The 14,247-nt window shown below is 44.2% G+C and overlaps 1 pseudogene; it reads right to left on the bottom strand.

Annotated features, from left to right (window-relative positions):
- Positions 1-865: 865 nt before the first annotated feature.
- On the bottom strand, positions 866-13,955 carry LOC102723668 (protein FAM182A-like; annotated as a pseudogene).
- Positions 13,956-14,247: the final 292 nt, after the last annotated feature.

The raw sequence follows: 14,247 nt of genomic DNA on the forward strand, positions 1-14,247 counted from the left end.
TCCCCAGTCAGCTGGGGCCTGGGTCCACCTGGAGCCTGATGCTTAGCTAGAGACTGGATATCCACCTGAGGCCAAGGTATCTACCCAGGGACTGGTGTCAAAGTGGGGCCTGATATCCACCTGGGGACTAGGTATCCACCTGGGGCTTGATATACACCTAGAGCCAGATGACCTTCCGGAGTCTGATGTCCACCACAGGCCTGGGTGTCCATCTGGGGCCTGGTGTTGATTTGGATTCCAGTGTCTACCTGGAACCTGGGACCATGTAGTCCACTTGGAGCCTGGAGTTTTCACCTGGGGCCTGGTAGACATCTGGCCCCAGTAAACATCAGCGTGGGGCCTCGTTGTCCACTTAGAGCCTGGAGTTTTCACCTATGGCCTGAAGATCACCTGGGACCCAGGTGTACACCTGGGACATCAGGCTCCAGGTGTAAACCCAGGCTCCAGGGTACAACAGGCCCCAAGAGAACTCCAGACCATATTAAACATCAAGTCTCAGGTGGATGCCCAGGCCCCATGTGTACACCAGGCCCCAGGTAGACAGTGGACACCAGCTGAACATTAGCTCCAAGTTTGACACCCATACTACAGGTGGATATGAGGCCCCAGGTGAATACCTATGCTTCAGGTGTGCATCAGTCCCCAGGTGAACATAAGGCCACAGATAGACATCAGGCCTCAGGTGCACATCTGGCTCCAGGTAAACATCAGGCCTTAGGTGGATACCCACTCCCCAGGTGGACATCAGAGACCAGGTTGACACAAAAAAATCCCAGTGGGTATCAAGTCCCAGTGGACGTCCAGGCTCCAGGTAAACACCCCAGCCCCACTGTAACTGTAACCACCATAACGAGAAGTGGTAGGTCTAAGTACCATCATGCTCCTTGCTCACAAAAGGATGCTTAGCTATTTTATTCAAAATACAACTCCATTCATCACTCTGAGCAGCGATGTGTAGAAAGGAAGAGAAAAATAAACCAGGCTTCAAGGAATCCATCCAAAATGAGGTAGATATTATAAGGGACAGAAATCCCCAAATGAAATGTTATAGTTGACATAGAATAGTCTTTAAAACCCATTAATTTTCTCACACATTTGATACAAAGCATTATTTCCAGAGACTGAACCTAGAAAGAATTGCTTAAGACTAGGAGTCTTGTTCCAGCCTAGATCCCACACTGTTGAACATCTATACTTAGTACATCACATTATACATAGCACTGATATGACCTGTGTGCATTTAATTTCCTAATACTTGTTCATCTCTGGCATAGTTTATATATATATATGTGTGTGTGTGTGTGTATATATATATATCATATGTAACATACGTGCATACAAGTACACACATACACACAAAAGGTATATAAGGGTAGGATAGTATAATTGTGCAGTAACGTTTCTTGTGAAAGTGGTGGAAAGCGGATTGCGTTGGCGACATGCTGGAATGTGCTTCCATTGGCAGAAGTAAGGCTTTCAAAACTAGTCGTTTTCATTTTTCTCTAGCAACTGGGAATATTAATAATTGAAGATGTGTTGGTATAAAACTAATCATAATAATCACAATGAAGTGGTTTTAATAATTATAAGATATAATAGACATTACAGATATTATAAGATGTCAAGAAAAAGAAGATGCTATAAAATCTTTGAGATGATTGACACGTTAAATGCAGCCTCCTGTGCCTCCCTGGGGCGCCACTCTCGCTGGGTTCTTGGCGGAGCTCACCGTACTCCACCTGCTCGGCCCAGGCTCCTGCGCCCCCGGAGTCACGCCATGGGAGCGAGGACCTTGCCGCGGCCCTAGACAAGGACAATGAGGAGGGGGTGCACGTGGAATCCCCACGGATAGGCCGGACGCCGGGCAGGAGCCTTTGCAGGGGTGCACAGCCTCCTCTGGAAGCCCTGGTCGCTGCCTGGTGCCTGCTGCGCCCTGCGAGCTCCGCAGCGGTGGAGCCAGGCCTGAACTGCCTGCTCTTGGCCCCGCCTGCGGCCCTCTGCCCTTTGTCTTGCCCGTGGGGCCCGGGGCCTCAAGCTGGCCCGGGGTTCCTGAAGTTAGCTGACGATGGGCTGGCCTCTGGGGCTGGGTCGTGGGCCTTGTGCACTGGCCGCCACGTCACCAGCGCCAGGCCTACCCGCGGTGCTGCTGGAGACGCGGGATGCCCGGGCTCGGGCTCTGCTGGATCCCCTGGCGCTGCGAACCCCGTCACCTTCCATCGCGGCCGGCCACCATGCTGCGTGCTGGTCAGCCGCCTTCCTGGGACCCCTCCGGCCCCAAGGAGGCATCACTCACAGCCGCTTGCGACACCGGGGCCGCCTGAACCTCAGCCAGGGCTGCGCCACGCAAGTGGCTCCAGCCAGCCAGCCCTGGCCCATGAGCAGGACGTTCCGATCCTAGAGATGATCGCCCTCGGCAGTGATACACGGCTATGGAGGAGGCAGCGGATACCTTCTAAAGTTTGTAGACACTCTACTGCCACACCAAAAGTTTCACCATCAGCTGCGATGCCGACTGGGGCTCAGAGACCCCTCTGGGATGTGGACCAGGCAGTGCCTTTGCTGGGCATGGCAGTGCTGACCACCCGAAGTGCGGACCTTCACTTCGTGTTCCTCATACTCCACGTTCCACATCCAAAGTTCTCTACCATTTCTAAGCAGGAGAAATCAAAAGAAACTGAAATCAGAAAGAAAGAGAGAGAGAGAGAGAAAGCCATGAGCAAAAATAAAAAAAAGAGCAAAACCTTCTGGAAAGCATAAAACGCCTCAAAGCCAAAAACTAATTCTTATCTCTTTTAAACCTTCTGCACTTCTCCAATGATGAATGATTTATTTTTTTTAACACTGGCAATTCGTAATTATTAACTTCTCTGGCATTAATGACTAGAAATTGAATCACATGTGGGAGTTTAATTTGTATTATATGAAGCTTTTCATATTTTAAAAAATAATCGTTCAGTTTTTCTCCGTGGATTAACAATTAATGGAAAATTTTCAACATTGCTGTGTTAATGTCTCCTGAGGTAATTAGATGTGAATAATCTTTTATAAACAGAATTTCCTGGGTGGGATTTCTCATCTTCAGGAGCTCGATAAATAACCATGTCCCAAGAGAACTGTGAATTTGGGAACTGCAAGAACTGAGTCTCAACTTGTCCAGCCTGGAAGCTCTTGGGTGAATCACTCTTGCAGGTGACTTCACTGCCTTCTGTTGAAGGGCCAGTGAGAGCCTGGGGGTTTCAACATGCAAGAGCCTTACCATTTTAGGGTTAACATTCACAATGAGGAAAAGACATACTTTTTTGATATTCTCCGTATGTAATAAAATAGTTACCAAAACAAAGCAAAGTGTGAGTGGTGACTATTGAGAGGACCCTTTTTATCTTTGCTGGATTCCCAGAGATTTCTGGGTTTCTTTTGGAGTCAATAGTATTTCCATGTTAATTCTGAGCTCTTAAATCCCACAATATGAGTTGCAGCCAGTGACTAGAGTTGCAGCCAGTGACTAGTGTTGCAGCTTGTTAAACTGATCACTAGCGGTAGAGCCTTTTCATTCTGTTCACTTCTTAAAAGGTCAGCTTGGTCAGATATCAGTGCTACCCTGCCAGAAATAAGCGGTTAGGAATCAAGTAAAGGAGTCAGCTAAAAGTGTAATTACTAAGTAGTGAGGTCACAGCTCGATGGTTGTTGATCTCATTTTCTCTCTGCTGCTGATTTCAAGGCTTTATACCGTGTTTTGATATAACAGAATGTATACTATGAAGGACAAATAGTCTGTTAGCTTCTTGGAGCTATACTCCATTACTGGAGCAGGGGACAACAATTTGAAGGACATTACTACTTAGACAGTTTAATCTGCCTTTGGCTAGAATAAACTTCAAGTTCCAAGGGCTGGGTTCAGTTGTTATGCAAATTTAGATTGTTGTGGTAAAATTTCCAAACCAGAAAGGATAGGACTCTTTAGATGAAATAAGAATTTAACTGTATTTGAACCCTGTTGAAGGCCAGACAAGTTTAGGCAAAATCCCATGACTGAATACTCTTTGATGAGTCCCTTTAAATTCCAACATATAATCTATGTTGGTAAATATGATACATGCACTGGAAAAGGATGTGTATTCAGTAGTTGTTGAGTGTCGGGTTCTGTATATGTCAGTTTATGTCAAGTTCGTTCATTGTGTTCATCAAATCTCCCTTTCTCTTATGGATTTTTTCTGTTGGTTCCATCGGTAATTGAAAGGTATGTTAAAATCTATATTGTAATTAGTCCATTTTTCTTTTAGTTATATCAGTTTCTGTAGTAAATAATTTGAAGGGATATTTTATATTTATACATATTTAACATTGGCATACTTTTCTAGTGACTCACATTGTAAAATCTCTTTTATCTTAGCAATATTTCTTGGCTTAAGACTAAACTGTCAATAATAACATAGCAACACGAGCTTTGTGCTGATTAGTGTTTTCAGACATGTTTTCCACTGTTTTACTTCCAAATGTCTAGATTCTTGTATTCAGATAAATTAATTAAAACATAAAAAATAAATATAATATAAAACATTAAAAAGTAAATATTCTAAAAATCCAGCCAGAGATGTTTCACTTTTAATTGAAGTGTTTAGGACCACTACTCTCACACTGTGTGCTAAGGTGCCCTGAGATGCTGTGTTTAACTGACGGGCACCAGTGGATAGTGTGTGAGTATGTGTATGTGTGCGTTTGTATCTGAGATGGGGGTCTCACTCTGTCCCCCAGGCTGAAGTGGAGTGTGAGGTCTAGGCTCACTGCAGCCTCTGCCTCCCTGAGTAGCTGGGACAACAGGCATGCACCACCATTCCTGGCTAAGTTTTGTAATTTTAGTAGAGATGGGGTTTTGCCATGTTGCCCAGGCTGTATATTTTTGAGGGAAACAAAGCAACATTTGCTGGAGACCTTAAGAACTACTAGCCTGAGGCAGTTCATAGTTTCAAAAGTACTTAGTTAGAAGTGCATTTCTTTACCTTTAGGGTGGGTGTTGTTAATTACCACGAAGAAAGCAAGTATTGTGCTAAAGTCAGTGTGGAATAAGAATAAGGTCCAGTGGTTGAGATCCAGTCCGATTTTAAGATTTGAAAAGTTGTGCTGTGTGCCCAACAGGCACACACATCCCAATAGTAAGTAAATTGTGCTTTTTTAAGAAAGGAACAAAAATACTGTTTCTACTTCCATTGCGTGTTATTTTGTATATGTACTTGCAAATCCATCACCAAAATAAAAATAAAGAACATATCCAGCACTCAAAAAAGTTTCCCCTTGCCCTTTTATAATCCCAAACTTTCTGTATCTTCCTACCTTACCACACTCCCTGGCAATCACCAATCTGTCACTATAAAATAGTTTGCCTTGTGTAGACATTTATATAAATGAAGTGTAGTATGCACCCTTTTTTGGAGGGGTCTGGCATTTTTCACACAGCATAATTATTTTGAGATTCAGCTATATTGCAGGCATCAATAGGTCATTAATTTTATGACTGAGTAGTATTCTATTGTGCAGATCGGTCACAACTTATATATCCATTTGCCTGTTGATGGGTTTTTGCATTGCTTCCGGTTTTGGACTTATACAAATACATTTGCAATGAACATTCATGTACATAAGTTCCTATAACTTTGAGTAAATATTAGGAGTGTAATAGCTAACAGGTTTAGGTTTAGTTTTAAGAGACTGTCAAAATGTTTGCCAAAATGGTTGTACCATTTTATATTTTTATCAGCAGTATATAAGAATTCCACACTCTTGCCAACATTTTGTATGGGCCTTCTTTTAAAATTTTAGGCATTTTCATGTGTGTACAATAGTATTTTATTGTGGTTCCATAATGCCTAATAATATCTAGTATCTATGTACTTACATGCCATCTGTATATATTTGGTAAAGTGTATGTTCACATTTTTTTGCTTCTCCCTTTTTTGTTTTATTCTTTGCTTATTTTCTCATTATTAAATTTTAACAGTTTCTTTATATACTTTAGATTCAAATCCCTTATTAGATATGAGACTTGCCAGTATTTTCCCCTTGAGTTTTCTTTGTGTTCTCATAACACTATCTTTCAGTTAGCAGATGCTCTCAATTTTGATGGGGTCAAATTTATTAATTGTTGTTTTGCATTTGGTTTTTGGGGCTTCATCTAAGATGTTTTTGATTAATTGAATATTACAAATTTTCTTTATTTTCATCTCAAAGTTCATAGCTTTTAATACTTTATTTTATATTTAAGTCAATGGTCCTATAAGTGACAGAGCTTTAACCCAAGTCACTGTCATGCATAGCTGGACCCAGGGGCTTATATAAAATCATCAAGAAATGTTTTCCTTCTTTCTCTTGACACTTTTCCTTTTGTTTTAGCCTCATTTTTTCCTTCTGAAGATGACTCTCTTCTCTCTTTGTAGCAAGAGATAGTACTAGAAATAACCCACTTTACTTTGTCCTCACATACCACAGTGGTAGAAAAAGCAAGAGTCCTTCCTGATGATTCCAAAAAAATAGTACTGAAACAGTTGCTATGATCCAAGGGTAGAGTCTTTTGCCAGAACTTGGCATCATGATCACCTCTAGGGCTGGGGCTTTTAGGTTGGGTCAGGCCTAGTTGGTGCTCATTGAAATGGTCCCCAAAGAAAAGGGGGGCTCTCAAGAGGAGAGTTGCTGAACACCCCACCAAAAAATAGCCACTGTGTACATACCTACAATTCCTTGCCAGTTTATAAGCAACTGGTTGGGTGGAAAATGACTAGAAATTCAGTTGTCATTAACTTTCCTTTATAATGTCAGTAGAATGAGCCATACATTTCACATGTTGTGGGTTACATCCATGATAGTCATTTCTGTATATTAGGTATCAATTTGGAGTATCATCTGAAGAAATATATTATTTTGTGATGTTATCCTTAAATTAATATTTTTAGGATAAAGATTTATAGGATGAAAGAAAAGTCTAGGATAGAAATAAAAGAATAGAGAAAATGGGAGCATGGATATACTGCAGAAAATGGCCAAACAGGAAAAGTACTTGTGAGAGGTATTGAAGTACATAATTGATGTCACATAGACCTCCAGGAAATTACAACTACTGGCATAAGAACAAACTATCTGAATAGTCTTTGCTAATACTGAGTCTTTTCTGCTTGCAAAAGTAGTAAGAATGGTAAGGAATTGGGACATTGTTCAGATAGGCCTCAATGCATTTGTTCATTTACCTGTTGATGGGGTTTGGGGGTATTAATGAAGGATGTTAATAAATAATAATAGGCATGTTAGGTAATCATAATTGATTTGTCCATTTGGTCTGAAGAAAATGTTGCCTACCTTCTTTTTTGTCGAGGGATTCATTTTTAATGTCATGTTGGATTATATGACTTACTAAATGTGTAATTGCCTATTTATGGATTCTGAAGAATTTTATAAAATGTATTTGCCAAACATTTTGAAAGCTTAGAACTTCTCCAAGGAAGAAGTTTTTTAGTGCTTTAGTGCTGCCCTGATAAATATGGTAGCCACAGCCATGTGAATATTGAGCATTTGAAATGTGGCTAGGCTGGAGTGAGATGTGCTGTCAGGGTAAAACACACACCAGATTTTGAAGACTTAGTAGGAAATAAAATTAAACATATCTAATTAATAACTTTTATATTGGTTAGACATTGAAATAATATTTTGTATGTATTTTACATATAAATATACATTCATGTGTATGTGTAATTAATATCTTCATATGAAATACTTCTCAATTACAATTGGAAGAATGATGACTTTGTGGTGGAGAAATCTGGCACAAACTTGATCATGTGCCTCCTGCTGTGATGTCCTAGGAAGACCACAGCATTATTTCTGTGGTTTTCTTGTGAAAGATACATGACCTAAGTCTGGATGTGGAAACACATCAGATGGAAAAAGGTGAACACATCCTTCATAAGTGTGTATGCTCTTTAAAACTCTTAAGGTTATGAAAAATAGGGCAAAACAGAGGAACTGTTTGAAGTTGAAGGAACTTAATAGTCATGACAATTAATGCAATGGGAACTCCTGGATTGGATCCTGGATTACAAAGTTCAAAAAAATGTATTTAGGGCACAGCTGAGAAAATTTGGATCTGTTGATTGGACAGTAGTGTTGGGTGAATGCTGATATCCTGATGTGGATGATTATATTCTGGTTATGAGAACTTTTCCCAGATTCCTCATCGTTTGCCCAGTGGGTTCATGGACAATGTGGCGATGGTAGCAGGAGAAGATGCTACATGTTTCCAATAACATGAATTTCCCTGCAGCAGTGCTGCCTACTGCCCAGATGAGTGCCCTGACTGCCGACAATGAGCAATGCTGAGACCCTGGAAAGAGGAACTACCTTGCCTAGACCAGACAGATTTCTGGTAATGTTGTAATAATATTTTTTCCCTTCCTTCATGGAAGTGGTAAAGAATTGCCCTCACTGGAATAGATGCATTTCCAAATACGGACTCCACTTCATATGCTTCTCATAGCATCAAATTATTTACATTTGCTGAGTTCTTATTCTCTGCTATCATACAATTACTACTGATGATGGAGCTTATTTTACAAAAAAAGAAGTGATGCGATGGGCTTCAACCCATATTTATTGGTCTTGTGACATCCCACATCACCCAGAGGAATATGACCTCACAAGAATCAGTTATTTCACCAACTGTGAGACCCTGAGGGGCTGGGTTTCTATCCTACAAGATGTGTTAGATGCCCTGACCAAAGATCCCTCCTACCCAGAATGCATGGTTCCATGTAGCAAGGATCATTTTGATGGTGGTGATGATGATAGTGATGGTAATGATGATAATGATGACGATTATGAGGATGGGGAGGGTGACAATAATTATTATGGTGAGGATGGTGATGGTGAAGGTGGCGATAACGATAGTGATAGTTATGGTGAAGATGCTGGTGTTGATGATGGTGAGAATGGCAAGGGTAAGAATGGTGATGGCCATGATGATAGTGTTGGTGATTGTAAGGATGGTGATGGCAATCATGGTGATGATGATAATGGTGCTGACTGGGCTATGAGGTAATGGAGGCAGAAAAGTGGCTGTTTCTAGGAAGTATAGAGCCAGCTGGGAACTGCAAGGCAACCTTAGTGGGGGTGGAAGATGTCGGGCCCCTGCGTCATTTCTAGACATCTGGGGAAATCTCACCCCTCACAGTAGTTCCAGGAAGCCCTCCATCCAGCATTTCCTTCTCGCAATCAGCATGGAGCTTTTGGGGTGCAGAGAAGTGTCTTCTATTCACTGCACTCTGTGGGAAGGGAAAAGGGGGAGTGCTATTTATGAACCCAGTATAATACAGTAGGGTCTCAGAGAAGTCAGGTAACTTTATCTTCAATAGCATCCAGTTGTGATTTATTGAGCAATTACTATGTGCCAGGCAACATGCTGGGTGGTTCCTTATATGTTATCTCATGAAATCCTACAGCAACACAAGGAGACAGGCATAACTACCCCATTATAAAAATTGTGGCAAAATGAACTAAAATTTACTGTCTAACTATGTTTAAATTTACATTTCAGTGGCATTAAATACATTCGCAATGTTGTGCAACCAATTTCCAGAGTGCTTTTCATCTTGTAAAACTACAGTTCTGTAACCCATTTAAAAACAACTCCCCAATCCCCACCCTCCCCAGGACCTGGTAGCCACCATTCTCCTGTCTGTCTCTATGGATTTGACTACTCTAGGTGTCTTGGAAAAGTGGAATAATACAGCATTTGTCTTTTTGGTCTGGCTTATTTTGTTCAGCCTAATGTCCTCGGGTTCATTCTTGACGCAGCACGTGTCAGACTCTCCTTCCTTTTCAAGGCTGAACACTATTCCACTGTATGCATAGACAGCATTTTGTTGATCCGTCCATCCATCCATTGACACTTGGGTTCCTTCCACCTTTTGGTTATTGTGAATGATGCTGCTCTGAACATGGCTTTGCATGTATCTCTTCCAGGTTAGCCCCATTATACAGAAGAGCATAGAGAGATTCTGGGAGGAGGGATGAATGCCTGGGGCCTTTGGTGAGGTCCTGGTGGAGGATCTCCCAGACCTCAAAGGCAGAGCTCCTCTCCTCACCCCACTGCCTTTCTTAGGACCTGCCTCCTGCTCCACCACACAGTGCCCACTCCCTGGTACTAGACTTGCTAAGGCCTCTTGATCCCTGAAAGTTCAGGGACAGGAACTAGCAGGCACAACTACAGTCACTCACTTCTCTGTCCCCTACTGCAGATTCGGTTGCAAACAATACATGACAATGACCTGCTTTCCACTCTTTCACCAGATGTGGATGAGGCGCCTACTGCATGCCAGGCATGTGTGGGCACTGGATGGAGACCCCTGGGAAATGAGAAGATGTGAGCTCCTCAAGGCCAGGGGTATCCCTTTCACTTGCTGCTACCCTGTGAGGGATGGAGGGGAACCCTGAAGCATTGGAGAAGTGCATGAGTGACCTAGCTCAGATGATGATATCATAGTAACCCTGTTTATTATCACCTACCATGTGCCAGGCATTGTGCGAAGTACTTTGCACACATTACCGGCTGTAAAGCTCAGAGACAACTGTAGGAGTGAATCTTTTATACCTCCCACTTTACAGTGGAGGAAACTGACGCTCAGAGAGGTGAACCAGTCTTCCCCAGGCCTTGCAGCTAGTCTCTGGGATGTGGATCCAGGCGGTCTGACTCAGAGATCCCCTCATCCTCTTAGTTTTTGCCCCTGCAGCCCTCTGGCCTGTCCCCAGGGCCCTGTACCGTTGGCCACCCCCAAGATGACCTGGACATGGGCTTTAGCAAAGGCAGCAACCCCAGCATATCTCCATTTGATAGGGTGGAACCTCAGGCCCACCACAGGAGCCCTGGGTAGGCTGCAGGTGGTGTAGGTGCTGGCTGAACCACAATGCACCCATGTTGGAGGATGCACCCTAGGATTGGCAGCAGCAGGAGGTCTCCCGGCCCAACAACTGGTAGTGGTACCTGAGAACAAAGGAGGAGAAGGATGCTTCGGATACGGGTGTGGAGAAGCCCAAGGAGGAAAAAGAAGATTTGGACTATGGGCTGCTGGATGGCCTCAAGGACCCCCTCCCAGAAAAGGAACTTTGAGACTTATACCGAGGGCTGAGATGAAAGTGCTCCCTCTTTTCTATCCTGGAACTGCTGCAAACTTCAGTGTGACATCACAGCGCCTTGTTTCCCTATTTGTAAAATGGGATTTTATGGGGGTTCCAATGAGACACTGGACCGAGAGCATTTTGAGAATTGTAAAAAATGTACAGTGAGTGAGGGAATAATTATTATCAATGGACCATTGCTCTTCCAATAGTTAGTATTCTTTAGCAAATATTTAAAGGTATTTTTAAAATATGTTGAGGAGGTTTGCAGCAGCTGAGGCCCTCAAGAGTCTTTTCTGTCTCCGTTGAAAGCTGGCCTCTGACAGGGACCTTCTTGGTGCTACCCCTGGGCCCCTCATCCTTTGTGCAGGCTTCTCAGGGTTCTTATTTATATTGCATCTTGTGGTTCCCTAGTGGATGGCATGCTGCATCTTCACTCAGAGCTAACTGCATCTCCTCCAGGCCCATGTCCCTTGTGCAGCACCCACTGGTCCCTCACCAGGATTCAAAACCTTCTGTGACTGACCTCTGCTGACCTCCCAACTTTATCCCCCCTCATTCTTTCTGCTCCTCCAGTTCCATGCCTGTGCCCCTCAATCCTGTGGCTCACACTCTCACCCAAGCTGTTCTCCATCAGGATTTCCTTGGCTCCCTTTTCTGGTAGGCAAATTTATTTTCATCCTTCCAAGCCCTGCACAGATGTCCTCTGTGCAGAAAGCTCTCCCTGAGGTCACACAGTCCAGGAACAAGGTAGTTCTTGCTCCTGTGCTCTCTCTGGGTTTTGTGCCTTTATCACTTTGGTGTAACTGCCTGCCTCCTGCTGAAGGGAGGCATTTTGGCTTTACTCACCTCAGTATCTCCTGGGTCCAGCTGGGTGTCTGGCCTGGCCCAGAATTGGCGCTCATCAAGGGTGTATAGAACTCACAAGGACCCAGGAATGTTTTGCAAATAATACCACCCTCCCACACTTCTCCAATGTTTACTTTCTAAGATCCTTTACTCTTTGACATTCAAATTTCTAAATGGCCTGTATGTATTTACAAAGCCTGGGAAAATGCCTTCAGAGGACAAACAAACCCCACCAGCAGAATGTATTTGCATTGACTAGGATTATGGATGAAATTCAGCTTTCCGGCAAATGAATCATTTGGCATTGGCTAAGTATCTGCTCTGTGCCAGATACTCAGCTGTGATCTCTAGAAAGAGACATGAACTACTGACACAGTACTTGACCCCGAAGAGCTCAGAATCCAGTGAGCTTGATTTCTTGTAAGTTAGAGACAGAGTTCAGAGCAGAAGCTCAGGCAGGAGAAGAGAAGTAAAATGGACACACCAGAGGCAGTGACAGCCACACAGCTGTCTGGGGACACTGAGTGCAGCAACAAATAGCTTAGGCTGCCTTGGCAGCCCACGAAGGTATCACGGTTTCCTATTGCAGCATCTCAGTGATGCTTTTGTTATGCTGATCTCTGCAAAGCCCTCTGTGCCCCAGCCCAGGATGGTGACAGCCATGCTGTGGAGAAAAGGGCAGTGACCAGGACCACAGGCTCAGAGCTTGTACCCTGGACCACCTGGGAATGGGAGCCCTTCACATGTTCTCTGCCTCTGTGTTCAGGTTGGGGGTCCTGGCCAAGGAAAGGAGATGACCCCCATGCTGGGTCAAAAGAACACACTCCCGGGAACAGACTCTCTCTTCTTTCTGGGTAATTTCTGCCTCTGCAGTGAATGGTGTAACCAGACACATCCTCTCTATTGGTATGACACAAAGACAGGCGTTCCTGCTCATGGGCTGAATCCTCAGGTGAGGGGAGGTGTAGTACATTCCTGTGCTCTGCTGACTAAGGCAGGGACACATGTCACCCCATCAGAATGAGTGCCAGACAAATGGCTACAATAAAATCATTTCCAATAATCAAAGGAGTCACCTTCATTCATCTACAAATACTTTTCCTTTTCTTTTTCTTTTTTTTTTTTTTTTTTGAGATGGAGTCTTGCTCTGTCACCTAGGCTGGAGTGCAGTGGCATGATCTTGGCTCACCACAACCTCCGCCTCCTGGGTTCAAGCGATTCTCCTACCTCAGCCTCCTGAGTAGCTGAGACTACAGGAGCCCACCACCACATCTGGCTAATTTTTGTATTTTTCATAGCCAGGCTGGTCTTGAGTTCCTGACCTTGTGATCCACCCGCCTTGGCCTCCTAAAGTGCTGGGATTACAGGTGTGAGCCACCACACCTGGCCCAAGTTTTTTTCTATAAAACCACCTATTGCACTCAGGGTAGGGTAAATGATGCATCATGCCTGCTGGCAACTTGGGCCCTATCTGGAAAGCGAGTGCCCACCACCATGGCACAGTGCTGTGCAGTGCCTGTGTGGTGCTGAATCTCAGGAGCAGCCCCTATCCTGTGAACCACAACTACAGGGAACTTAGACGTAAGCAAAGACCTCTGGTGGCCAAGCCTGCCAGAAAGCAGATGCTAACCCTGTCCTGGGGATCTGCAGGGAGGTCGGGCCAGTGGAGAGGTGGCGAGACCAATGTGTGGTCTCCCCAACTCCCGCCCATGCTATGCAATGGGGGCGACCACACACCCGATCTGCCTGGGAGGGTCCTGGTGTGCCCACTGCCTCGCTGAGTTATGAGGGGTGCTGCCTCTCACATCTCACCGGTATCGCATTTGAAGGACAAATTATGTCTTCCCTTCCCCACCCTGTGGACCTCCGTTTCCTCATGTGCAAGTGGGGGATGATATGTTTACATGGTTATGCAGTGGTGGTATCGATGGGATCCATCTGTCAATACCCTGCATCCAGCGACCATCTGGAGCACACCTGCAGTTCGCAAGCTGGGCTTCCTGCTGCAGTGAGGGGAGCAAGCACTGCCTGGAGCCAGGGAGCCTCTCTGAAGGAGGTGTTGGAAAGGACTTGTTCCTGAATTTGGGCTTGTATTGGGAGCTTGGGGGAGGGTTGAAAGAAGCCTTTGCTCTAGATTGCTTGCTGACTGTATCATGGTGTGGCTTCATTTCTCAGAGAAGAGCCGTGAAAATATACAAGCATCTTCTCTGGCGTGGATCCACTGCTCTCCTGTGGGACAAAGAGTTC

Source organism: Homo sapiens, chromosome 21 (genome assembly GCF_000001405.40).
Source record: "Homo sapiens chromosome 21, GRCh38.p14 Primary Assembly".
Taxonomy (NCBI): Eukaryota; Metazoa; Chordata; class Mammalia; order Primates; family Hominidae; genus Homo; species Homo sapiens.